Here is a 26,626-nt window from a genome sequence, read left to right as displayed (position 1 = left end):
AAAATATGTGTTCCATTTCCATTTTTCCAGAATTCTGAGGAACTAAATGAAAACAACCAAACTACACAAGCCTTATACCTTATGAATCCATTATACTGGAGCGACTGAATTAATTTTCCTCTGTAGCGGAAATTTTAATCTATGTAGACATTGAGTAGTTAACTTCTTTTTTACCACTAGAAGAATTCGTTTCAATATCAATCACCTGTGTGGTCAATGCCATTTCCCCTTCTTCCCTACTCAGTAACTTAGAGTGGAATCAACTATTCTTTCCTTTACTTTCTATCTTTTGTAATGCCATAGTTCTTACTCTTCTATAGGTAATGGATGCCTTTGAAAAACTGATGAAAGCCATGGGGCCCAGAAAAATAAATGTACCCATATACACTCAAATATTTTCATACAATTTCAGGAGTTTAAGAACCCCTATGCCCCAAGATCACCTACACAAATAATTTCTATCACCATATGGCTCTCTTTTATAATCCCATACCACAACTCCTTTACACTCATATACACACACAAATTAAGGACTAGTTCAGAGATTATTAACATAATACTCAAAATAAAAAAATTTCATCTAAGTAAAGTTGTATCTTACTAGCAAACTTCTAAGAATCCCAGATGAATTCTTTCCTGAAAAGCTTACTAAATCTTACTGTTTGGTCAACTTGCTTGCCTTAAAATGTGCCACAATGTCTTCCTAAATTTGTTTTTGTTAACTCTGACACATCTGCTTGTAAAATCACGTAAGGCTCAAAAGTTATGTTTGAGCAAAAAAAGAAAATTCATGTTAATATTAACAAACTCTTGGATTCAAATCTTGTTCTACCGTATCAAGCTATGTTCAACACGGAACAGTGAAGTTAGCTAGGAACCGGAACAGTGAAGTTAGCTAGGAACTGAAAATGATACGATCTCATAACTATCTAGTTACCTTGTCAAAGCAAGTAAAACATAAAAGATGAATCAGGACAAATGGCTAAAGGGAAGAGAAGAATATAATCAAGGTGTTACTACTAACAGAGATAAGTGTTTTTTTTTTTCTCGAAAGCATACTTCTTAAAAGTGGCAGATTCTTGCTAGACGTACCAAACCATTTGTGGAAACTATCAGTTAACTTTTTACTTAAATTTTTAATCACTGATTAAACCACAGTTTTGTACTGGATCCAAACCAAATGGCCAGATGCCATAAGAAACGGCTTTATTTATATGTCACCCTCTCCTTGTCTATTATAATCAAGTTGGTAGTTAAAGCTGAAATCTATACATTCAACATGTGGCTTGTGCTTCGGATCTGGACTAAGAATACAGCTCTAAGGAGTATCTGCTGAATTTGTACAGGAAAACCCTTTCCCCTCACACCACCCAAATTAGAAAGTTTACAAAAAGCGGAACCCTTCTGATGAGCTGAGGAAACTCCAGTATTTCCCAATGCAATACCAGGCCTCATCGATTTCATTCCTCTGCACATTCAGTGGCAGGAAATGGACTGCTACCATCGGTTCACACTATCAGCACGGTGAGATTTGCACAGTTTGTGCCTACTGCTTTTGAGCGTTCTTAATCAACTAAGTGGAAGTACTGTATGACTATGCCTATTACACACACTCGACAGTTGGTGGTACCTCACCCAGCCTCAAACTCCCACGCGCCCCCACCCTTCCAAAGAAACATTTCTTGGGAGAGCACATGGAGAGAGGCAAGGAGGAGGAAAAAGGCACGTAGGCGCCTCTTCCTGAGATTTCTGGTAAAGTAGAAAGACTGGGAGCATAAATAGTGTTCTTCTTGATTTGCGAAGCTGTAGGTGGGCTCCCAAGGACTTGGAATAAAAAGGAGGGAGGTTCCCCTGCCCCGGACCCTACGCGTTAGGAGGCAAAACAGCAACTAACAAGAAGTGGGAGGAGAATGGAATCGCGCAAAGGTTTGCGCCCACAAGTTAGACAAACAACAGCCCTACCCAGTACTCGGGGTGTCCCCAAGTTGGGGCTGGGCCTTTCTCCTTCCCGCACCGCCTCCCGGGCTGACAAGAGTGAGAAAGGGGTTAAGTAGAGAAGGGGGTGCTCTTCCGCCCCCACGCCGTCTCCGCGCCTCGGCGTGGCCACTCCTTTAGCGGCTCCCCGAGTTGCACAGCGAGGTCGCGGTCATCCTTGGGAGGGGGCCCCGGGTGCCCCCGTGTTCAATGGCAGGAGGATCCCGGGGCTCTCCCTGTCCCTAAGGCCGGCGGGGGCTGCGGGAGCACTCACCAATTTGGGTTTGTTTTTCGTTTCCTCTTCATTGGCGGCCCGGTTCCCCGCGCTCCGCTTGTTGCTCCGGCCCCCACCGGGTTCCTCGCTGCCGCCTCCCGCTCCCGACGCCGCCGCCCCGGGCTGCTCCATCTTTCTCCGGCCCTGTCACCTGTGCCCTGTAACCCCACCTCTCCTCAACTGAGAAAGCACCTCGGGGCGCTCACACTGCCCCGCGCTGACTCGGCGGCACCTCTTCCTGAGGGAGAGAGTGTCTGCCCGGGAAGCTGCCGATTTCAGGCCCCCGGGACTCCAGGCTCCCAGGCACCCCCGACGCAACCACGCCGTTGCCACTACTCGGCGCTGGGGCAAGCCCTGCCCCTGAGCAGTTGCAATTACCACGGTCGCCGCCGCCCTCAGGGCGGTGTTTAGGGTGGAGGGAAAAGTAGGTGCCTATCTCTTTAAGAGGGCCTCAACACACGTGATTCTTCAAAGTGCCCGCATCGGCCGCCCGGGCGCGCAAAGCTGCTTCCTACTCCCGCAGCCGAGCCGGCCCCAGCTACTGAGCATGCCCGGCGCGGTGACTGGAGCCTAACAGAGCACTTTCAGCTGCGGTTAGGCACTGATTTCACTTCCTAGTGGCCCAGCGAGAACAGGGAGGGAACTAGTCAAGAGAAAGGAAGGGTAGCCCATTTTAGAGATGGGGAAACTGAGGCCCGGGAAGATCCGCCTGTAAGTTTCACTGGCGGGTCAACCTGAGTATCAGCTTTCACTTCTGTGGGCCACAGCACCTTCCCTCCCTGAGGCCTCTCCGGGGGTGTGGTCCTGCTACAGTCTGTGGAAAGACTTGATTGGCAAGGGAACTGGCATCCTATAGGAAAACCACCGGGAGTGCTGATTAATTGCCTCGACAGACTGTGTGTGGGTCAGAGTGGAAAGAGTGAGTGCTTTCTGTTGTCGTGATTACGTTGTGACCGAAGAAATACAGTTGTTCCTTTATTCCCTTGCTGCAGGGTTGTTGAAGCAGCAGGCGCCCACCGCTTAATCCCTAGGGGATTGTTAGGTTCTATAACCAAAACACTTACATACAGCTAGCAATTGAATTGAGTGCTATTTTCAGGTTCCCGAACTAGTTTAGAGTTGTTGTGGGGAGTGAATAAGATCATGTGTGTCAAAGCTTTGTTGTAAATGAAAATCCCTAGACAAATGCTAGGTGTTTTTGTGCAGCAGCAGGGCACTGTTGGGACGATAGTCTTAAGTCCTTGCGTCATACCTAGCATTTTGTCCTCAGGACAAAATATAGTACCCACACTGTATTTCTTCCATCCTCTTTAAATGATGCCCTTTAAAAGTAAAGGTACACACTGAGAACATTAGACGGGGTGGGTAGGATTTGAATGAACCACCATCATAGAATAGGAGCACATATGCTAGGAAAGCTACCTATAAAGTAAATTTAAATATGAAATCTATAAACATGCCATACACCTATTACTGAAGATATCTCCAGACTATGACTCCTTTTGACCTTCTCCCCTTCGGCCTAAATTTAATATGCTGAATGGAATTTGTATCTGAACATATTTATTGAGAGTGCATTAGGATGCATTTGACCATGCTATAGGTGCAAGGAGACAGCTAACTTGGGCAGTAGAATGAAAAGAACACCAGATATCTGAAAACAGCTTTAATTCTAGCTTTGTCATTGTCATTAACTTTCTTTTTTTTTTAATTCTGAGACAGAGTTTCCCTCTTGTTGCCCAGGCTGGAGTGCAAAGGTGCAATCTCAGCTCACCGCAATCTCCACCTCCCGGGTTCAAGCGATTCTCCTGCCTCAGCCTCCCAAGTAGCTGGGATTACAGGGACCCACCACCACGCCCAGCTAATTCTGCATTTTTAGTAGAGATGGGGTTTCTCCGTGTTGGTCAGGCTGCTCTCAAACTCCTGAGCTTAGGTGATCCGCCTGCCTTGGCCTCCCAAAGAGCTGGGATTACAGGCGTGAGCCACCGTGCCCGGCTGACTTTCTTTTTAATCATGGAGGTGTGACTTCTCTACTCCTAAGGTGGCAAGCTACCAAAGGACAGCAGAGAAGAGGGAATACATGCTCCCAAACAGGGTGCTCAAGGAGCCCCATGGTAACTTTGCTTTGTTGAAGTTCCCGTTTTACTTACTTAAAGTTTAGTGTATATTTTGAATTCAACTCACTACATACACACACACACAAACACAATTTATATAAATGTCTCCTCTCCTGAAAAATTGAGTCAAAATGGGTGCTTCAGAAAGACATGACCTGTTTAGCCAATGCGTAATTCCTGTTTGTGCCATAGGTGTGGTCCATAGCTGAGGGCCCTCCAAGCGCAAACATGGTTCAGTAATCTGCCCAGTAGACATTTCTTCAGCTCCTTAGAGTACACTAGGTGATACAGAGTGTCATGAGTAAGAAGGATGAAGATGACACAGTTTCCGCCTTTTAGAACTTCAGAGCCTACTGGGAGAGACAGACCATTAAAGAACTGCACTGCACTATAACAGATATGAACAGGAAGCCTTTGAAGCACATGAAAGAGGTAACTATCGGAGTGTCAGAGGCTCAGGGACACCTTCCCAAAGAAGATGATGTTTGAGCTGAGTCTTAAGGGTCTGATTCAAGTTAACATTTGTTGGCAGCCTACTAAGTGTGAGGTACTGTGCAAGGCATCATGAGTACAGTGGTGAACAAGACAGACATGGTTTGGTCTTAGGGAGCTTTCATGCTATCGGGAAAGATATATATAGTTTCACTCTTATTGCCCAGGCTAGAGTGCAATGGCGCAATCTCAGCTCACGGCAACCTCCGCCTCCCAGGTTCAAGCGATTCTCCTGCCTCAGCCTCCCGAGTAGCTGGGATTACAGGCATGTGCCACCACGCCTGGCTAATTTTGTATTTTTAGTACAGATTGGGTTTCTCCATATTGGTCAGGCTGGTCTCAAACTCCCGAACTCAGGTGATCCGACTGCCTTGGCCTCCCAAAGTGCTGGGATTACAGGCATGAGCCACTGCGCCCAACCTTGGGAAAGATATTAAAAATGTATTAAGCAATTACAAGGCAAATAAGGACAGTGAAGGGCATTCAGGCAAAGGAAATGACAATAGCATGTGCAGAAGCCCTGTGGTTAAGAAATTGGTGGGGAGCTGGGGAGACTGTTGGCAGGAGAAGCAGCAGAACAGATAAGGAGTTTCCAGATTGAAGCCCCCTACTTAATAAGTTTCATTACTGTTGTTTAAAAAGTGGAAGGGGGTCAGGCACGGTGGCTCACGCCTGTAATCCCAGCACTTTGGGAGGCTGAGGTGGGTGGATCACCTGAGGTCAGGAGTTCGAGACCAGCCTGGCCAACATGGAAAAACCCAGTCCCTACTGAAAATACAAAAATTAGCAGGGCATGGTGGCAGGTGCCTGTAATCCCAGCTACTCAGGAGGCTTGAGGCAGGAGAATGGCTTGAACCCGGGAGGCAGAGGTTGCAGTGAGCCGAGATCATGCCACTGCACTCCAGCCTGGGTGACAGAGCGAGGCTCTGTCTCCATAAAAATAAAAACTAAAAAGTGGAAAAGCAGAATAAGGAGGCCATTGTAATATGAATTACTTCTGTTTAGAACGTATAAATAGACTTGAAAATGTATTGATATTATTTTGAATGTAAGGTTGGGTTTCATCATCCTCAGGCCAGGTTAATCTGCATGTCATATCCAGTTAGAAGTACATGTAAAAGATTGATAATCTTTTCTGCAAAAAATGAAAGTTTGTCCCTGATATGTCTTACATTTGACTTTATTGTGGTTATTTTGGCCCGTCTTAATTCTTGATGTTTTTTTCAGCATTTTGCTCTAGTTAATGTAAACAGTGGTTTAAAAACAAGCAAAAACCTTTCCTTCAGGCTTCAGGGTCATTGGCCTGGCAGAAACTAACACAGGAAAGGAGCCACTGCTCTCGGTAAGGACTCTTTGTCCACTGATTATGAACCAAGCACCTCACCAATTGTGGTCCTACAGCAGATCTCTCTGCATCTGTAATCCTTTATTTTTACCCTCCTGGGTCACACAAATAGGTTGGTGGATGGAACATCTCTTCTCTGATGCTGAAGAAAGAAGGAGGCTACCACCATCAATTGGGATATCAAAACTTAAATGTATGTTAGAACCACTGACCTTGTGGTCTCTCCCTCTGGACTCTCATGAATGTAGCACCCAATCAGCATTTAAAAGCCAGTCCTGGGGGAGACCAATAAAAGGCTACTGGGTTCTGTCTTCAAACTGACCTTAGAGCCATCTATTACCCCTGAGGATTTCTGACCATCCTGATAGTACCCCTCTGAGTTTCTATGTCTCCCGTCTACAGTGTATTCTCATCTGAACAGTCTGTGTCGTTCATAGATGAAACATGGATTTGAAAAAAATGAGAACCACCTCCAAGGTCACAGCAAAATGTTTATGCATTAAAGGATTCCTAAGAATAAGCAGGTATTTACCAGGTATTAAGCAGGTATACTACATGGTTAACACCAAACTAGATGTCCTGCAGATGTTTCTAAAAAATGCCAGATATTCTACTATAATGTCATATTGTCTTTACTGAAGAATCTCCTGTTTTGCAGAATTGCACACCTAAAATAGCAGGGCTTACTGGGAAAATATGGTTAGGAAAGACCACTTAAATCCAATGCAACTTTATAGTCAGAGCACTAATGAAAACAACCATCCTAATAAAAACCACAGATAAATCTCCACTGGCCTTTGCCCCCAGCATCACAGTCATCAATGCTTGGTAGCCTTTATGCTTCCTCCTTCCTGATGTGGATCCTCAAGGGCATTCACTTTTAATAGATGCCATTTTCATCAGAATTAAAAATCTAATTGAGGAGTAGTCAGCTTTTTAAAAACACATGGTGAAAGGTCGTCACAGCTTCATTAGCACGGGACTCACAGCTTCACCAGATAGTTTAATGTTGTTGAAAACTTAGAGGTTGTAGCCACTAAACCAGTCACTACTTATACTGAAGGCAGAGCTTTGTGCAGGATTCTTCACTTTTTCTTAAAAGTCTTCATATATTGCTAAGACTTCTTATTTGTGAGAAAGTTTGTTTCTGATCACTTCAAAACAAAGTGCTGGCTACGCACAGTGGCTCATGCCTGTAATCCCAACACTTTGGGAAGCCAAGACAGGAGGATCACTTGAGCTCAGGTTTGAAACGAGCCTGGGCAACGTAGTGAGACCTTGTCTCTACTAAAAATAAAAATTAAAAAATTAGCCAGGCCTAGTGGTGCACACCTGTAGTCCCAGCTACTCAGGAGGCTGACGTGGGAGGATGGCTTGAGCCCGGAAGATTGAGGCTGCAGTGAACTATGATCACACCACTGCACTCCAGCCTGGGTGACAGAGTGAGACCCTGTCTCAAAAAAAGAAAGTGCTATGAAAATTCACACACATGTATCAACTGGACTGCCACATTATTTTGACATTATTCTATTTGCCAATTGCTAATATGCTGTTTGTGGTACACAAACACTTGTAATGAAACAGACTGTAAAATGTAAAATCCCTGCCATCATTAGGCCTAAAATCTTGAGAAAATAAGCAGGAGAACTAAGGTGTGAAACAGTAAGAGAAAATTAGCTGCCTAGCTTGGAGATACTGACTCTAAATTCAATATAATATGGTGAAGGAGTGAAATCGGTGGGACCTAGAATAGATAAAGTTTTCAAGGAGGAGGTAGGACTTGAGCTGCTAAGCTATGAAGCAGAAATCAGACTTGAATAGACAAAGCAAAGAAAGGAAGTAAGGAAAAGACAACATATGGAATGGTGTGGAAACAATACTGACCAATAATGTTGAGAGGCCAGTGGCACTTGAGTAGAATGGTGAGAACATAGATGTTGAATAATTGTAGGAAACATGCGTATCCCCATAGTGTGTTCCCAGTTTGTAAACACATTTGAATGCAAGACATAGTGACTGATACAGATCTTTAGCAGGGAAGTTATAAAACAAAAGATGTTTCAGGGAGCTGCTTTGGCAATGGTATGCAGAATAACTTTGAACACTGATTTTCAAACTTATTTTGCCTTTAGTACAGGATTCTTTTTTTTTTTTTTTTTTTTTTTTTTGAGATGGAGTCTTGCTCTGTCGCCCAGGCTGGAGTCCAGTGTTGCAATCTCGGTTCACTGCAACCTCTGCCTCCTGGGTTCAAGTGATTCTCCTGCCTCAGTCTCCTGAGTAGCTGGGATTACAGGCATGTGCCACCACGCTCGGCTAATTTTTGTATCTTTAGTAGGGACAGGGTTTCACCATGTTGGCCAGGCTGGTCTTGAACTCCTGACCTCAGATGACCTGCCCACCTCAGCCTTCCAAAATGCTGGAGTTACAGGCGTGAGCCACCGCGCCCGGCCGAGTACAGGATTTTTTTCTAAATAAAACTCTTCATAGAACCCCAACAGATACAAATGTAGATGACCTGTTTGAAATCAGTGAGAGAGTGGAGAACTGCTCATGTCCACTTGGCTTCCCCTCTCATCCTCTGAGGCAACCCTTTAAGGCACCACTACTGAATCCCAGCTTAAACTAGATAAAGTTGTGAGGATTGGAACTGGAGTGGCCCCAAAGGAAATGAATAGCAACAGTTGAATCCAAGAGCTGTTTAAAAGGAATAAACTGTTCCTCCTCACGGATTATATACAGGAAACAAAGGAAAAGAGAGAGTAAACAAGAATTACCAAAATGTTGTTCCAAGGAAATAAAAAACTAGTGGTAAACAAGGAGATACTATGTCAGCAGGTGCCTGTTATTGACAGGCAAAGCCAGATCAAGGAGCCTGGTACCTAGAAACTAAAAAAACCTAATTAGGGCAGGACAGGAAAGCTAAGAACGTTCCTCTAGTCACCAGCAAGAAGAGTCTGGTCAAGCTGGTAAAGCATGGAGTAGGGGGGTGGGGACGTAACAGTAGGCATAAGCAGGCAAACTGCTGGACTCTGAAAGTCCAGCAATGGATGTCCTTTCAGGCTGACAAAACAGAATCCAGAAAATCTGGTGGCAGCCAATAGTCAGAGGTTGATTCAAAGAGTATGGAGCAGCAATCCAGTCATGGGGATTGGGATTCAAAAACAAATGATTAATCCCTTAAGAGGTCTGTCAAGAGAGTGTCAAATAAGGCAGAGCACTGGTCCTAAAGGAACCAGCACATCAGATGAAGTCTGTGAAAGGAGGCAGACACAGACAAATAAAACTGGTACCCAAGATACTCAGTTTCTTCAAATGGTCTGTGAGAGCGAAATAGGACCATCAGGGATAGGTCCGCTTGATGCCAAGCCACCAAACTACTGAAATACTGCTCCTTAAATCCTCTCTGAATAGGAGCAGGATTGGTTCCAATGGAGGAAAAGAAGACAACAAGAAAAAACCTGTAAACGATAATAACCAGTAATGGTCACTTACCTGGAGGTAAAGGTTACTGGGCTCAGGTATGATGATTATAGGGCTGGGGGCAAGAAGCCAGGCAGCTAAAGCACAGCCCCAGAAAATCTGTCTAAGAGACACCAGTGCCAGTTTCTCCTTTTGGGGAAAATGTCAAGCCTAATAGAGACTTTGAGAATCCTCAAACATATTACGCCTCCTATAGTTTTATATAGTATGCTGAAAACCAACTCTTTGAATGTTATCTGGAAAATCTGCTTCTAACAAAGAACAACAGACTTTTCTTTCTTACATTCACCAAGGCCCCAAAGTGATTTTCAAGAATGGCTTAACAGATCATGAGTGGTAATTATCCAACCTGTAAGTTACTAAGACATAGGTATAGTAATGAGTACTCAGAGAATAGAGTTTTCATAGAGTTCAAAAGCAAGACTAAAATTATGCTATTAAAATCTAGTGTCTCTTATTTTGTGGTTTGTGTTTATTACGACCTTTTCAAAATATTATTAATTACATGAAAATTGAGAAACACATGTTTGACATCTGTAAATAACATGTTTTCATATCTGGGCATCGCTAGTCAGATAAGCCTAAAAACAGCCTTATTTATGTTTTATATATTCTCCCACATCAATTTTAACAGCTTTATTCAGATATAATTCATATATCATAAAATCTACTATTTTAAAGTGTACAATTCAATTCAATGGTTTTTAGTATATTCACAGAGCTGTATGACCATCACCACCCCATTTACCCCTTAGCTGTCACTCCTCCCTCAGTCATCCCAAACCACCCCCTCCAACACATGCACTGCCCAAGGCAACCACTAATCTATGTCTGTAGATTTGCCTGTTCTGGATGTCTCATGTAAATGGAATCATACAATGGTAGTCTTTTGGAATTGGCTTCTTTCACTGAGAATAATGTTTTTAAGATTCATCCAGCCCACATCAATTTTGGTTTGCTCATTATTATCTGTTTCTTGGACACAGATACAAATCAGTTGTTTAAGCCCCTCCCCTGCCATGCACACAGTGACCAAAATGTGCCTATGTACAATTCCAAAGAGTTTTGATATTCTCATGTGAACACATGTAATCTTGCCCCCTGTCTCCTGGTAAAGGCCAGAGATTTGGGAGTTTGATTTCCCATACAATTATATAATAGAGGAAGTTCCTCCTGATCCATGGCCTGATGTCTGACATTTTATAGAAATGACCACAAATACCATATTTAGTCAGGTATACATTATGTACCAGAACAGCTCCTAGGAGTTGATTAAACAGAACAATTCAGAAACCAATTATATTAAATTATATTTTACCTGGTATAGTACCAGGGAATACATAGGCCTTAACTTACTTGTTTCTTAAGTCTCCTATTCTAACATATTATAAGCTAAAAGGTACACCTACATTGACATTAGATTCATTTGGAAGGCCTTCTTTCAAGAAATTTGCACATGAGTTTTTAAGAAAATTTTTGAGAAAGACTTCAGTCACTGGATGATTTCCTGAAAAACAGATGCCAGAATATATATTTTGCTGCTGCTTTCATTGTACTTATTATTTTTTCAAATACCCCTGTAACATTGGCCTTCTGCTGCCTTCAAAACAGGCTAACTTGAGCAGCCATCTCATCAACATTAGCAGCTTCACCTCCCACCTGATATAAGGGCAGACCTGCCTCTAAACCCTATGAACCAACCCTGATTTGCATCAACATTTTAATTCTTTTTTTTTTTTTTTTTTTTGAGAGAGGGTCTCGCTCTGTCACCTAGGCTGGAGTGCAGTAGTGTGATCATAGCTCATTGTATCCTCAGACTCTCAGGCTCAACCATCCTCCTGCCTCATCCTTCTGAGTGGCTGGGACTACAGACATCCACCACCACACGCAGCTAATTTTTAGTTTTTTTGGTAGAGATGGGGTCTTGCTTTGTTGCCCAGGTTGGTCTCAAACTCTTGGGCTCAATTGATCCTCCCACCTGGGCCCCGGCCTGCATCAAAATTTCACTCCTTTAATCCCTCACCATGTTGTTGCTTCACACCATCAAAATGTCTCCAAACTTTGATTAAAATGGTGGCCAAATCCAAAGGCACACAAGGGTGAGCTTGATTCCAAATCCATAGAATAATACTTTTCTATCATAGCCATAGCCCTGTATGTGGCCCTACAATAATATAGAACTATTAGAAGATTGTTTTTTTCTATTCTAAGCTATTTTTGATGACTATGATGTAGGATTATAAAGCAGATTAGATTTTATCTAGCATGTTAGAACTTATGTATCTAATTTTAATTAAATAATATTAACAAATATTTAGCAGTAACTATGTCCAGGGCATTATGCTAAGTAAAGATAAGTGAAAGATATACTATTCATGGTCTCAACAGGCTTAGTATCTAGTCAAGGCAACTGACAAGTATGCAACTAACTGCAAAAGAATTACAGAAACATACAGGAGAAAGAAAACAGGGAAGGTTTCATAGAAAATCTGAGCCTTTAATTGTAAGTAGGATCCCAAATGTTGGAAGTGAGAGAAAAGGGCATTCAGGCAGATGGGACAGTATAACCCAGCAGCATAGAGAAAGGAAAATGTGGGCTGAATTTGATTAGTGGTCTAAATGGAGCCAAAGAGTAGGGGTTGTGATTGTATAGTGGGAGATAAAGCTGAAAAAGCAGAGTGGCATCACATCAGAAATATTTTGAATGCCATAATGAATTCCAAATTTATTCTATAGACTGTGGAGAGTCACCAGAAAAAAATGAAAAGGATAAACACATGATCAGACCTATGTTTTAGGAAAAATGCTCTGGCATTGGTATGTAGAATGGTTTGTAAATTGAGAAACTGGAGGTGGGGAGATGAATTAGGAAAGCCCTTTCAAAAGCCGTTCTCCTATTGGGGAATATGTGTTAGTTCAGCCTGGGTGCCAGTTACAGGAACCTGACCTAGGGTAGATATCCAGGGAAGTCCAGAGAGGGAGGACCTGGAAGGGTGAGCTGAGACAAAATCTGCTAAGAATAACCAAGAGTCAAAAAACGAAAACAAAAATAAACAGAGTGCAAAAGGTTAAAGTCTCCATTAGACTTGGCTTGTGGACCCAAGAGTTGACAAATTGGAGCCAGGATCAAAGTGAGAAGGTGTTTTAAGGAAGGAAAGAGAATGAATGGTAAACAGCCTAGAGGCATCCAGACCTTATGTTGGTGGATATGAGATGCATATGTACGTTGGTCTGGTTTAAGGGACCAGGGGTAGTTAGATATTTCAATGACAGACATACAATAATGAGACTAGGATCTGGGGCAGTAGGAAAGAGAATGGAAAGATGGGAAGAGATTTTATAGGTAAAGTTGTCAGGATTTGGTGACCTAATATAGGCAATGGGAGAATGGGAAGAGTGGAAGAGGATTCTGAGATTTAAACACTGAGTAGGAGGAGTGATTATATTACATTCAGATTGGAAATCTAGGAAGAGAAATACATTTTTAAAAATGTGATGAGATAGAGAGAGAGAGAGAGAGAGAGAGAGAGAGAGATGAAGCAACACTTCAGGTGCCTGCAAGATACACAAATGTAGATGTTTTTAGAAATTAGGTCTGGCATTACTGAGAAAGTTTGGAGATGGAGATGAAGAATTATTAGCTTGGTGCAAAAGCAATTGCAGTTTTTGCCATTATGGCAAATTTTTTTTGTAGAGATGGGGTCTTGCTTTGTTGCCTAGATTGGTCTCAAACCCCTGGGCTCAATTGATCCTCCCACCTGGGCCCGGCCTGCATCAAAATTTTCCTCCTTTAATCCCTCACCATGTTATTATTTCACACCATCAAAATGTCTCCAAACTTTGATTAAAATAGTGGCTCCATTCAAAGGCACACAGGGGTGAGTTTGATTCCAAATCCATAGAATAATGCTTAATCCCTCACCATGTTGTTGCTTCACACCATCACCACCATTATGGCAAAAACTGCCATTACTTTTGCAGCAACCTAATACATAACAGTATTAGTTGAAGATGTGAGAGTAGGTGAGATCATCAAAGGAGAGTGTAGAGTTTATGGGAATCAAAGAAAGAAGTCTGTGGGAACTCATGTGAAGTGTGGACAAGGAAAATAAACCATCCAAGGAAAGAGCCTACTGGAGTTTATTACTCATGGTAGATTCTGAGATTTCAGTACTGAGTGACAGGGAGAGTGGTGATACCATGATATGTAAGGCAGATAAATAATCTAGAAGGAGAAACATTTTTGGTATTGGATGGATGGATGCTGAGAGAAAAATTCACACATCTCAGATGGGATTCATGTGCAAGAACACAAAAGCCATGGATTAACTTTAAAGACATGGTAGCCAGAAAAGTCAGAAAGAATGAGATCTTTGGTGACGTTAAAGATGGAAATCAGGAAACTGAAGAGCAGATTTCTTCTTGGAAACAATGTACCCCTAGAAGACCATACCCACATTAAAATCAAGCTAACGTTCCTCAGAACTCCACTTTTGAAATTCCTTTCAGAGACAGTTCACCAGCTTAATAAAACGTCAGAGGGTCCCCACTGTTGACTTTCATGTGTGTCTGGTGGTTTCTTTCTCTCTTATACTCCTCCCACTTCGCTCTTCCCTACTCTCTCTCACATTTACTCAGCTTAGTTCATTATTCTCCCCTTTCTGCCAGATATAGTAGTTCTAACCCTACCCCTCTGTTTCCATGAAAGTTTCTGCTGTGTTGACCTCTGACCACACACAGGGTAGAGGAACTATATAGGGTAGAGGCTAGTCCAAGGAGCCAAATTGAAGCCAGGATCCAAGGAAAGCAGTAATTGCAGTGTATCAGAAAGTAGACTGGCTGCCATAATTGTATTTGTGTGCTGAAAGTCTGCTTTAAGGGCTGGAGGCTTATAATATACAAATTACAGTAAGTTAAGAATTTCCTAGATATATGCTTATATATGAAAGGTCATATACAAAGCACACAGATAGCTACACATGAAGATAACCCTTAATTTATCACATTAATATGTACACATACAAACATGCCTATTTTAATAATGACCTAGAGAGAGAATATGAATATGAGAGACTACATTTATTTTGGTTATTTGAGAGTAGATTGCATTTCACTTTCTAAATTTATTTTTCCTCTCTGTTACTTCTAGAAAGCAGAACTAGCTTTACTTGGGCAGTGAGCTGCACTTTGGAAATACGTTTCAAGAGCTTTAGCATACAAATCCTACATCTTGATTCTGAGCTTCTTTCCTCTAGGCAGCTGATATTGTTTGGCCGTGTCCCCACTCAAATCTCATCTTGAATTCCCACGTGTTATGGGAGGGACCTGGTGGGAGGTAATTGAATCATGGTGGCAGGTCTTTCCTGTGCTGTTCTCGTGATAGCGAATAAGACTCATGAGATCTGATGGTTTTAAAAAGGGGAGTTTCCCTGCATAAGCTCTCTTCTCTTGTCTGCCGCCATATGAAACATGCCTTTCACCTTCCTCCATGATTGTGAGGCCTCCCTAGCCACTTGGAACTGTAAGTCCATTAAACCTCTTTCTTTTGTATGTTACCCAGTCTTGGGTATGTCTTTATCAGCAGCATGAACATAAACTAATACAGCAGCACATTAAATGTATAACTTTAGAGTGACCCATGATAATTGATTCTAATTTAGAGACTTGCCTCTGGGTGATTATGGCATATCCAGAGGGTTCACCATGTGGCCATCAGAGGTGAGAATTCTTAGCTACATTAGCTAGTTCTATACATCAAGGCAATTCACAGGAAAGGGTCTAGAGGACAAGCCATGGAAATATACAGGTTGTCAATATGAACAGTGTTGAACTAGAACAGTGGTTCTCTAACTATGGTCCCCAGACCAACAACATCAGCATTACTTGAAAACCTGATAGAAATAAAAATTCTTGAGCACCAACCCAGGTCTACTAGACCAAAAGCTCTGTGGTGAAATCCAGCAATCTGTGTCTTAACAAGCCCACCAGCTGATTCTGATGCCCACTAAAACTTGAAAATGACTGAAATAGAAGAAAACATGTCATGAGCAGGAGGGTTATAGGACAGAGAAGAGAAAAACATGATACCAGAAGTGGAGATAGAATTGAATTAAGGAGGGGAATACTGAAGGAGTAGTTTACCAAATAGTATCCTTCTGACTGCTTTCTCAAGAACAATTCTTCCATGTGGATGTTTTAAAATGGCTAAACTACACATTTAAAATGCAGCAATAAATGGAGTGGAATGGGAGACCAAATGTTGAGTCAAAGGTAGAAACAGAGTCAGGGGTGGATGGTGTTAAGAGATGAATCTAATTCAAACCAGCAGGAACCATCAAGAGTAGAACAAAGCACAACAGTGGTAGATAAGTAAAAGGAGGTGAATCAGTTGCTTCTGATAGTTTAGGGAAGCTCTGACACTCCTGACACTACCAGAGAGAAGAACAAGCCGCTCCAAGGGTAGGAATGAGGTCAAGGGGAAGGGATATATATATTGGTATTGATATTCCAAAATTATCTGAGGGGGTGCTTGAAAAAAACAAGACATTCAGAATAAGCCAGGCCTTTGATATTTAGCAGTGGGGCGTGGTCTATGAAACCACCTTATTTCACATTCATAGCCCTCAAATGGGCATGGAATTTCTAATACTAACATAAATCAATGGATCTATAAGAAAGTAGATACATTTAAATCTGACTAAGATGGTTTTAATGGTTGTAAACTAGCCTTTGTCATAATTTGAATATACTTGCCAGTAGAATTTACGGTTATCAGCAGCACAAAGTCTGTGAGAGGAAACTATCTAGGATTGGTAGAGATCCAGGTATTTAAGATCAAGGACCTGGCACCAGGTGCGGTGGCTCACGCCTGTAATCCCAGCACTTTGGGAGGCTGAGGCAGGCAGATCACTTGAGGTCAGGAGTTCAAGACCAGCCTGGCCAACATGGTGAAACCCTGTCTCTACTAAAACTACAAAAATTAACTGGGTGTGCTGGTGGGTGCCTGTAATTCCAGCTACTCGGGAGGCTGAGGCAGGAGAATCGCTTGAACCTGGGAGGCGGAGGTTGCAGTGAGCCAAGATCATGCCACTGCACTCCAGCCTAGGCAACAGAGCAAGACTCAGTCTCAAAACAAAACAAAACAAAATTAAATTAAATAAATAAATAAGGACCTGGGAACCAACTCATCTATATAGTTTGGCTTGAGGTGGTGGTGGAAGAGCAAGAAGGTGGTCATTCACTTAGAAAGGCTTAGCAGGCTCTGCTGTTGTGTAGGCTGTAGCTGGTGCCAAAGTATCCAGTCAGGCAGGTGGGTCAAGGCACAGAGGGATCCAGGCAATAAATATCTGATGAACCTTGAAAATATTATGCTAAGCAAAAGAATCCAGTCACAAAAAGCCACATATTGTATGATTTCATTTACATGAAATGTCCAGAACAGGCACATCCACAGAGACAAAAATAGATTAGTGATTCCTAGGGAGTTAGAGAAGGGGTAATTGGAAATAACTACCATGGGTATGAGGTTTTTTTCTCAGGTAATAGAAAATGCTTGGAATTATAGCATTAAGGAGTGGTGATGGTTGCACAACTTTGTGAATACACTCAAAACTACTGAATTGTACACTTGGAAAGTGTTATGTGAATTATATCTCAATTTTTAAAGAATATATTGTGAGCAGGCATGAGAAACAGAGATAGTTTCCTTCCAGAGCTTACTGCCTATTATAAATGATAAATTCAGGATTCCTCTATTATAATGTACCCTACTACATATGCAGGTATCTTCTGCCCTTCTTTGCGTCACACTATGGGAAGAGGAGCTCAGGGAACTGGTACAAATGCTGACATTCTGGCTACTGCCGTTGCTCGTATTAGTAAACTATTCTTTGTCTCTGACCCTAGAGTCTTGTGTATTCTGCCAGCATCTATATGGCTGACTAACTTATTAACTTGTACATAGTATAAAATCTCAGACCCTTCAAAGTTCCTGACAAGGACCGTAAAAATAATTTAGTTCAAATTTCTCATTTGAAAAATTTTAAAGCTAAATCACAGTTGTGTATTTAATTTCATGAAAGCTGAGAAAGAAGAAATCTATAGGAAGCAAAAGCTGGTTTCTTTATGAAATAGATTTTGTAAGCATTTGTCATGCCATATTTCTGTTTATTTGTTATACAAATATTAGAGGACCATTTTGAATACACAACTCCAAAGAGGAGTCTCTGACTTTTTCTTGGTGATATTTGCTGACTTTATGTTTCTAATAGCATCTTTGAAAGACTAAAGAAAAGAGATCTAAAATGAAGAGTCACTGGTGTATGTAGGGACTGGTGATCATTTTATTCTTGGTTATCAGGAAAAATGGTGGTATTATGAAAAATAATTTTAGAATGGACTGGATGCTTCTTGAAGTGTATCATAATTTCAGAATAACTTTTATAAGATAGATATCTGCTATCTAAGTGATACAGTACTTCATTATAAATTGGGTTATCTCACCACTTTTTTACTCTGGTTCTTATGTATTATTAGGGATTGTTCTAGAACTTTGCAAACAATTCTGTATAGTTGAACTGCTCTTAGATTTCTGAGTTATTCTATATAGCATTGTTGTTAATGATTAGTTTATAGTATCCTATCAAGACTGATTTTTAATTTGAATAACATAGTCTGCAAGGTCATGACCATTTTATAATGACAAAATTCACATATTTCTACTGAATTTTTTGACAAATATAAACAACATTTTATAAATAATTTTTAAAGATATCTACATCAACTGGGTTTAAGACTTCAGGCAAAAAACTAAACAAATGGTCATGACCATTTTATAATGACAAAATTCATGTATTTCTACTGAATTTTTTGACAAATATAAACAACATTTTATAAAATGTTTTTAAAGATATCTACATCAACTGGGTTTTAAGACTTCAGGCAAAAAACTAAACAAATGAGTACATTAAGTCTTAAAAATAATAAGCTCCAATACTTGATGCAGTAGTGTTAATTAAGCAATATTCTGGGGCTTAATATATTCCTTTATTACCTTGGTTGCATCACCATGGGTCTAGCTGAATTTGTTCCTTCAACATTGCATTTCTTCTTTAATAATACTTAGCACATTTTAGTGTATTTGTTGTTTATGGTATTTCTCCTTCTCTAGAGTGCAAACTTCTCAAGGGCAGGAAATGTATTTCTTTGTCTTTCCAGCCTGAGCACCTAAACCAGTACCTGGAACAGGGTAGATATTAAGCAAGTAGATGTTGATTCTCCAGGTAGATAAGACATTTAGAAAAGTAACTCATAGTTACTGATTTTTAAATGTTGGTATGGTTTGGCTCTGTATCCCCACCCAAATCTCATGTTGAATTATAATTCCCAATGTCGGGGGAGGGGCCTGATGAGAGGTGATTGGATCATGGGGATGAATTTCCCCCTTGCTGTACTCATGAGTGAGTTATCACGAGATCTTGTCATTTGAAAGTGTGTGGCACTCTCTCTCCTGCCACCATGTTAAGACATGCTTGCTTCCCCTTTGCCCTTCCACCATGATTGTAAGTTTCCTGAGGCCTCCCCAGCCATGCTTCCTGTACAGCCTGCACAACTGTGAGCCAATTAAACCTCTTTTCTTCATAAATTAGCCAGTCTCAGGTAGTTCTTTATAACAGTGTGAGAGTGGAGTAATACAAATATATACTAGATGATATATACTTACGGGAGACGTTCTTTGTATTCATGTATTTGGAAACCTGAAATAATCACTGTTTTGGGCCGAACTGTGCCCCCCAAAATGGATATGTTGAAGTCCTAACCCCCATATCTCAGAATATGACTGTATTTGGAGATAAGGTAAAGAGGTAATTAAGTTAAAATGAGGTCATTAGAGTGGGCCCTAATCCAATATGACTGTTATTCTTATAAGAGGCAGTTAGGACACAGACACACAAAGGAAAACCAAGTGAAGACACAGGAAGGAGACAGCCATCTCTGCAAGCCAATGAGAGAGGCCTCAGAAGAAACCAACCCTGCTGATGCCTGGACTTCAGACTGACTTCTAGCCTCCAGAATTGTGAGAAAATTAATTTATGTTGCTTAAGCCACACAGTCTGTGGTACTTTGTTATAGCTGTCTTAGCAACTAATACAATAGCTAGCAAACTAATAAAATCACTAAAAGATTGTTTTGGTAAGCGTAGGATTGAAAAAATTCTCATGCTCCTATGGGAATATTTATGTATACTATATTAGAGTCTCTTCCCCTGTACAGAAAATATAACACTATAGTGACCCAGCGTCTTTCTTTTCTTTAGTGTCTTTCCTTAAGACAAATTTGTGCACATACTGACAGTTCCTTATTCACAGAGTCTCACTCTGTCTCCCTGACAGGAGTACAGTGGTGCCATCACAGCACACTATGGCCTTGATCTTCCAGGATCCAGCCCACCTCAGCCTCCTGAATAGCTGGGGCTATAGGTGCACACCACCACGTCCAGCTAATTTTTAAAAATTTTCTATAGAGATGGGAGTCTCACTATGTTGCCAGGGCTGGACTAGGCTCAAGTGATCCTCCTGCCTCAGCCTCCCAAAGTGCTAGGATTATAGGTATGAGCCACCACACTGCCCCCACACCCCTTTTAACATCATAATCTCTCAGCTCCTGAGTAGAATCACAGTAAAAATGACAGTTTATTTCCCCATCTTATCTCTAATACTTTTTTTTTTTTTTTGAAATGGAGTCTCGCTCTGTCGCCAGGCTGGAGTGCAATGGTGTGGTCTAGGCTCACTGCAACCTCCGCCTCGTGGGTTCAAGCAATTCTCCTGCCTCAGCCTCCCGAGTAGCTGGGACTACAGGCATGTGCGACCACATCCAGCTAATTTTTGTATTTTTAGTAGAGACGGGATTTCACTATGTTGGCCAGGCTGTTCTCCAACTCCTGACCTTGTGATCTGCCCACCTCAGCCTCCCAAAGTGCTAGGATTACAGGTGTGAGCCATCGCTCCCAGTCACCTCTAATACTTTCTAAAGCATCTTCTAATTTCTCTTTAACTAGCGACTATAATTTGCTTCTTCAGCATTATTAATTTACTAGCACAATATGTGGGACAGGAACCTTATCTTAAAAAACTATGAATGATAAGGCCAGGTGTGGTGGCTCATGCCTGTAATCCCAGCACTTTGGGAGGCCGACGGGGGTGGATCACGAGGTCAGGTGTTCGAGACCATCCTGGCCAACACAGTGAAACCCTGTCTCTACTAAAAATACAAAAAATTAGCCAGGAGTGGTGGCGGATGCTTCTAATCCCAGCTACTCAGGAGGCTGAGGCAGGAGAATGGCGTGAATCCAGGAGGCAGAGGTTGTAGTGAGCCGAGATCGCACCACTGCACTCCAGCCCAGGCGACAGTGAGAGACTCCGTCTCAAACAAACAAAAAACTATGAATGATCAACAGAATTAATTAATACACAAAAAGAAGAGCTAGTTCTTTTAAGAAATCTTATTATTCTTCATATTTAATTTTGATATTAGAATTGACTTAATTTTATCACAAGAAGGGTCTGGTATCATATTCTTTTCAAAGGAGGCAATTGTTTTTTATGTTTTTTTTTTTTCTGGAAAAGTTACAAGGAATGACTAGGAAAATTAACAGTTTTTCTGAAAACAAAATAATATGTTACAATCTTTTGAAGTCCAATAGTTTATTCCTAATAAGATATATCCAACTCTAGAGAGCCATGTAAATAGCTCCTTTAACATAATAATGAAACATATTAGCAAATTTATCAGAAGAAGAACATTTCTAGCCATAGCAGAATATTCTTAAGCTATCAAATTTAGTTTGAGAGTACAGGCCTGGGATTCCATAAAGATATGGCGAATTAATTCCCAAGAGAAATCTAGTTTGGGATGTACTTCAAATGATGTATTTCCAAACTTATAGTCATCTATCTTTTTTATGAGGACATAGAAACGTTTTCTGACTTAAGAGTAGACAGTAACTTGACTCGAGGTTTCCTCCTTTTAGAGTAAAAACTATGGGAAACATGGACAACGTTTATCAATTAATTATCGATCAAATAAAAGACTATAAGCATTCAGTGACTTCAGGTACCATCAGTTGATTAGGAAGGGCTGAGTGTAAAGTGCCAGATAACCAGCTGAAAAGTGAAAACAAAATCAGGGTAATTCATGGGTGCATTGTTGTTTTTGGTGTTTTTTTAATGACCACATCCAGTCAATCAAATCGTTTATTTCTTTTTCATCAAGGTGACTATTTGTGCTGTCTGGTTGACTTGGGACCAGCTCAGGAGAAAACTACTCCACTTTTAGTCTTATCTGGTTCATTTTTCCTTTTTAATAAGGGAAAAAAGATTTAGTCAATTATCCTCTTGCAAAACCTCCTTGTCCCCCCAGTTTTCCCACTATGCCTTCTTGCTAAAACTGGCAACTTGAAGGTCACAATTCTTTGACCTCATCAACTCCAAAGCCTTTTATCTCTGCTCCACTTTGGCTGCACATTCCATGGTCACACTGTAAATTAGTTTGTGCAACATTTAGTACATGATATTCATTTTGGTAAAGCCCCTACGTGATTCTCATGGAAGGAAATTGTGGACCACACTTGAAGGAACACTGTTCTGGATTTGAGTTTATGGGGTGGGGGATGGTTGAGAGAGTTCTCATTTGAATTCCTCTGTTTTCCTTGTGAGACAGGTAAGTTTGTGTTTTTTTCTGCTCCTCATCCCATCGGCCACACTCTCATACATCCTTAAATATACATACCCAGGCCAGGCACGGTGGCTCATGCCTGTAATCCCAGCACTTTGGGTGGCTGAGATGGGCAGATCACTTGAGGTCAGGAGTTCGAGACAAGCCTGGTCAACACGGTGAAACCCTGTCTCTACTAAAAATACAAAAATTAGCCAGGCATGGTGGCACATGCCTGTAGTCCCAGCTACTTGGGAGGCTGAGGCAGGAGAATCGCTTGAACCCAAGAGGCAGAGGTTGCAGTGAGCCTAGACTGCGCCATTGCACTCCAGCCTGGGTGGCAGAGTGAGACTCTGTCTCAAAAAAAAAGTATATATATATATATATATATAAAATGTATATATTTTATCAATGTGTATATATGTATATATAAAAGTATATATATACACACACACACACACACACACACACACCCCAAAGTAAAACCTTTTTTTTTTTTTTTTAAGAGACAGTCTTGTTATGTTGCCCAGGCTGGTCTCCACTCCTGGACTCAAGCAGTCCTATACACACACAAACACACACACACACACACACACACACACACACACACATCAAAGTAAAACTTTTTTTTTTTTTTTTTAGGAGACAGAGTCTTGTTACATTGCTCAGGCTGGTCTGCACTCCTGGGCTCAAGCAATCCTGCCTAGGCCTCCCCAAATTGCTGAGGTTATAGGCATAAGCCACCACACCTGGCTCAAAGTGAAACTTTTTGTGATAACTTCTCCCCACCAAATTGATCAATTTCATTTAGAGTTACTAGGGTATTGCATTCATGTATTTATCCCAGATCATCTCATACACTATACTAATTTTTTGCTTCTGTCTCCTTAAATCATAGTCTTCCTCAAGGTTTTGTTGTCTTCCTCTTTCTTCATTCTTTCCATATTCCCTGTGCAATATCATCCATGCCCGTGACTTCAACTAAAACACATACAAGTGATGATTATCAGATCTATACCTCTAGAGCACATATTGTTCCTGAACTCCAGATTCATACTTCCAGTGGTCTACTGGACATTTCCACTTGATTGTTTATAGGTATTCCATGTGTCAATGTCCAAAACTGAACTTATTTACTTCCTGTGCTCCCAACCCTTACCCCAAATCTGCTCCTCTTCTATTCTCTATCTAGGTAAATGGTACTACTAGGTACTGTTGTTGAAGCCAGAAACAAAGCAGTCATTCTACAGTCCTCTCTTCCTTCATTTATTTAATGCTGTCAGTTATTCTTCTGAGATATTTCTAAAATCTCTACTCTCTACTCTCTCCCTGCTATTGCCTTCGATAAAAGGTAGTTTATTGTATATGGTAGTTTATGGTACAGCCAAGACTAAATAATGATTTACTGGATAAAAGGCAAATTAATTACAGCAAGTCATTCAATAAGGTCATTTTATTCAATGTCGTCTTTTGTTTTTGACGGAGTCTCACTATTGCCCAGGCTGGAGTGCAGTGGCATGATCTCGTCTCACTGCAACATCCACCTCCCGGGTTCAAGCCATTCTCCTGGCTCAGCCTCCTGAGTAGCTGGGATTATAGGCGCATACCACCACGCCTGGCTAATTTTTGTATTTTTAGTAGAGATGGGGTTTCACCATGTTGGTCAGGCTGGTCTCAAACTCCTGACCCCGTGATCCGCCTGCCTCGGCCTCCCAAAGTGCTGGGATTACAGGCGTGAGCCACCATGCTCGGCCTCAATGTTGTCTTGTTATAACATTGATAAGAAAAAAAAATTGCTTCCTTGCTGGGGCCACTGTCTGTGTGGGCTTTGCATGTTCTCCCCATGTCTGTGTGGGCTTTCTCTGGGTATTCTGGTTTCCTGATACATCGCAAAGATATGCATGTTAGATTAACTGGTGTGTCTCAATTGTACCAGTGTGTGTGAGTGGAGAAGTGTGTGTGAGTGTGCCCTGCGATGGGATGGTGACCTATCTGGGTCCACTTCCCACTTTGCACCCTGAGCTGCTGGGAGAAGCTCTGGCCACCAGAAACATTGAACTGAAATAGGCGGGTTGCAAAATGAATTAATGAATACAAATGATTGTAAAATAAAAATGTGTAAGTTATACAATACAATCATACAAATACACAACAATAAATGACGCACTATGAAAGTGTTCAGTGAGCCTACTGTATTTGTTATTCTTTGTTTTGAACTGTGTGGTAGTAGCAGGTGCTTCTGACAATTTTTGCCTTTTTTTTTTTGAGACAGAGTCTCACTCTGTAGCACAGGCTGGAGTGCAGTGGTGCAATCACAGCTCACTGCAGCCTTGACCTCCCAGGCTCAAGTGATCCTCCCTCCTCAGCTTCCCAAATAACTGAGACTACAAATGTGCACCCCAATTTTCGCTTTGTAATCATTATTCCTTGATTAACCCACTACTACAACCATTGTCACTCACTGATTCAACAAAAACTGAGTAATTATCTTGTTCTCATTATTCTTTTTCAAATGTGTATGTAGCTCACATTTATTTCAATGTTTACTATAAGAAGTATTTTGGGTCTTTATTTAGAAATTTGGTAATTTTTTTAACTTCTATTTTAAGTTCAGGGGTACATGTGCAGGTTTGTTACATAGGTAAACTTGTGCCACGGGGTTTGTTGTACAGATTATTTCATCACCCAGATACTAAGCCTAGTACCCATTAGTTATTTTTCCTGCTCCTCTCCCTCCTTTCACCACCTACCCTTTGATAGACTCCAGTGTGTTTTGTTCCCTTCTATGTGTCCATAAGCTCTCATCATTTAGCTCCCGCTTATAAATGAGAACATGTGGTATTTGGTTTTCTGTTCTTGTGTTAGTTTGCTAAGGATAATGTCCTCCAGCTCCATTCATGTTCCTGCAAAGGACATGGTCTCATTCTTTTTTATGGCTGCATAGTATTACACGGCATATATGTACCACATTTTCTTTATCCAGTCTATCATTGATGAGCATTTGGGTTGATTCCATATCTTGCTATTTTGAATAGTGCTGCAATGAAAATACATGTGCATGTGTTTTTTAATAGAATGCTTTATATTCCTTCGGATATATACCCAGTAACGGGATTGCTGGGTCAGGTGGTATTTCTGTCCTTAGGTCCTTCGCCACACTGTCTTCCACAATGGTTGAATTAATTTACACTCCTGCCAACAGTGTATAAGCATTCTGTTTTTGTCCAGCATCTTTTTTTTTTTTTTTTACTTTTTAATAATAGTCATTCTGGCTGGTGTGACATGGTATCACATTGTGGTTTTGATTTGCATTTCTCTAAAGATCAGTTATATTGAGCATTTTTCATATGATTGTTGGCTGCATGTATGTCTTCTTTTGAAAAGTGTCTATTCAGCAGGGCATGGTGGTTCACACCTGTAATCCCAGCACTTTGGGAGGCCGAGGTGGGCAGATCACGAGGTCAGAAGTTCGAAACCAGCCTGACCAACATGGTGAAACCCCGTCTCTACTAAAAATACAAAAATTAGCAGGGCATGTTGGTGCGTGCCTGTAATACCAAGTACTCAGTAGGCTGAGGCAAAAGAATCGCTTGAACCCGGGAGGCAGAGGTTGCAATGAGCCGAGATTCCGCCACTGCACTCCAGCCTGGGCAACAGAGCAAGACTTCATCTCAAAAAAAAAAAAGTGTCTATTCATGTCCTTTGCCCACTTTTTAATGGGCTTGTTTGCTTTTTCTTGTAAATTTGCTTAAGTTCCTTATGGGTGCTGGATATTAAACCTTTGTCAGTTGCATAGTTTGCAAAAATTTTCTCCCATTCTGTAGTTTGTCTCTTTACTCTGTTGATAGTTTCTTTTGCTATGCAGAAGCTCCTTAATTTAATTAGATTCCATTTGTCGATTTTTGCTTTTGTTGCAATTGCTTTTGGTGTCTTTGTCGTGAAATCTTTGCCCGTGCCCATGTCCTGAATGGTATTGCCTAGGTTGTTTTCCAGGGCTTTTATAGTTTTGGGTTTTACGTTTAAGTCTTTAATCCATCTTGAGTTAACTTTTGTGTATGGTTTAAGGAAGGGATCCAGTTTCAATCTTTTGCATATGGCTAGCCAGTTCTCTCAGCACCATTTATTAAATAAGGAATTCTTTCCCCATTGCTTGTTTTCGTCAAGTTTGTCAAAGATCAGATAGCTGTAGTTGTGTGGCCTTATTTCTGTGTTCTCTATTCTGTTCCATTGGTT

At 41.2% G+C, this 26,626-nt stretch overlaps 1 protein-coding gene across 2 annotated transcripts in view, besides 2 other annotated features; it reads right to left on the bottom strand.

Moving 5' to 3' along the window:
* DIAPH2 (diaphanous related formin 2) overlaps positions 1-2,597 on the bottom strand; it is a 920,156-nt gene extending 917,559 nt beyond the window's left edge. For both annotated transcript variants that reach the window (NM_006729.5, NM_007309.4), the window contains exon 1: positions 2,249-2,597. In NM_006729.5, the coding sequence (NP_006720.1) occupies positions 2,249-2,380 (132 nt within the window). In that variant the 5' untranslated portion in view covers positions 2,381-2,597. The remainder of the gene's footprint in view (positions 1-2,248) is intronic.
* Positions 1,380-2,093: an enhancer, noted in NCBI's record as "H3K27ac hESC enhancer chrX:95940345-95941058 (GRCh37/hg19 assembly coordinates)". NCBI's record gives its function as "activates a minimal SCP1, AML or CMV promoter by ChIP-STARR-seq in naive and primed H9 embryonic stem cells {active_cell/tissue: H9 hESC(naive and primed)}" and the evidence as "EXISTENCE:reporter gene assay evidence [ECO:0000049][PMID:30033119]".
* Positions 2,094-2,809: an enhancer, noted in NCBI's record as "H3K27ac hESC enhancer chrX:95939629-95940344 (GRCh37/hg19 assembly coordinates)". NCBI's record gives its function as "activates a minimal SCP1, AML or CMV promoter by ChIP-STARR-seq in naive and primed H9 embryonic stem cells {active_cell/tissue: H9 hESC(naive and primed)}" and the evidence as "EXISTENCE:reporter gene assay evidence [ECO:0000049][PMID:30033119]".

Source organism: Homo sapiens, chromosome X (genome assembly GCF_000001405.40).
Source record: "Homo sapiens chromosome X, GRCh38.p14 Primary Assembly".
Lineage (NCBI taxonomy): Eukaryota > Metazoa > Chordata > Mammalia > Primates > Hominidae > Homo > Homo sapiens.
Note: the sequence above shows the minus strand (reverse complement) of the source record. Positions and strands in the feature narration are given on the sequence as shown.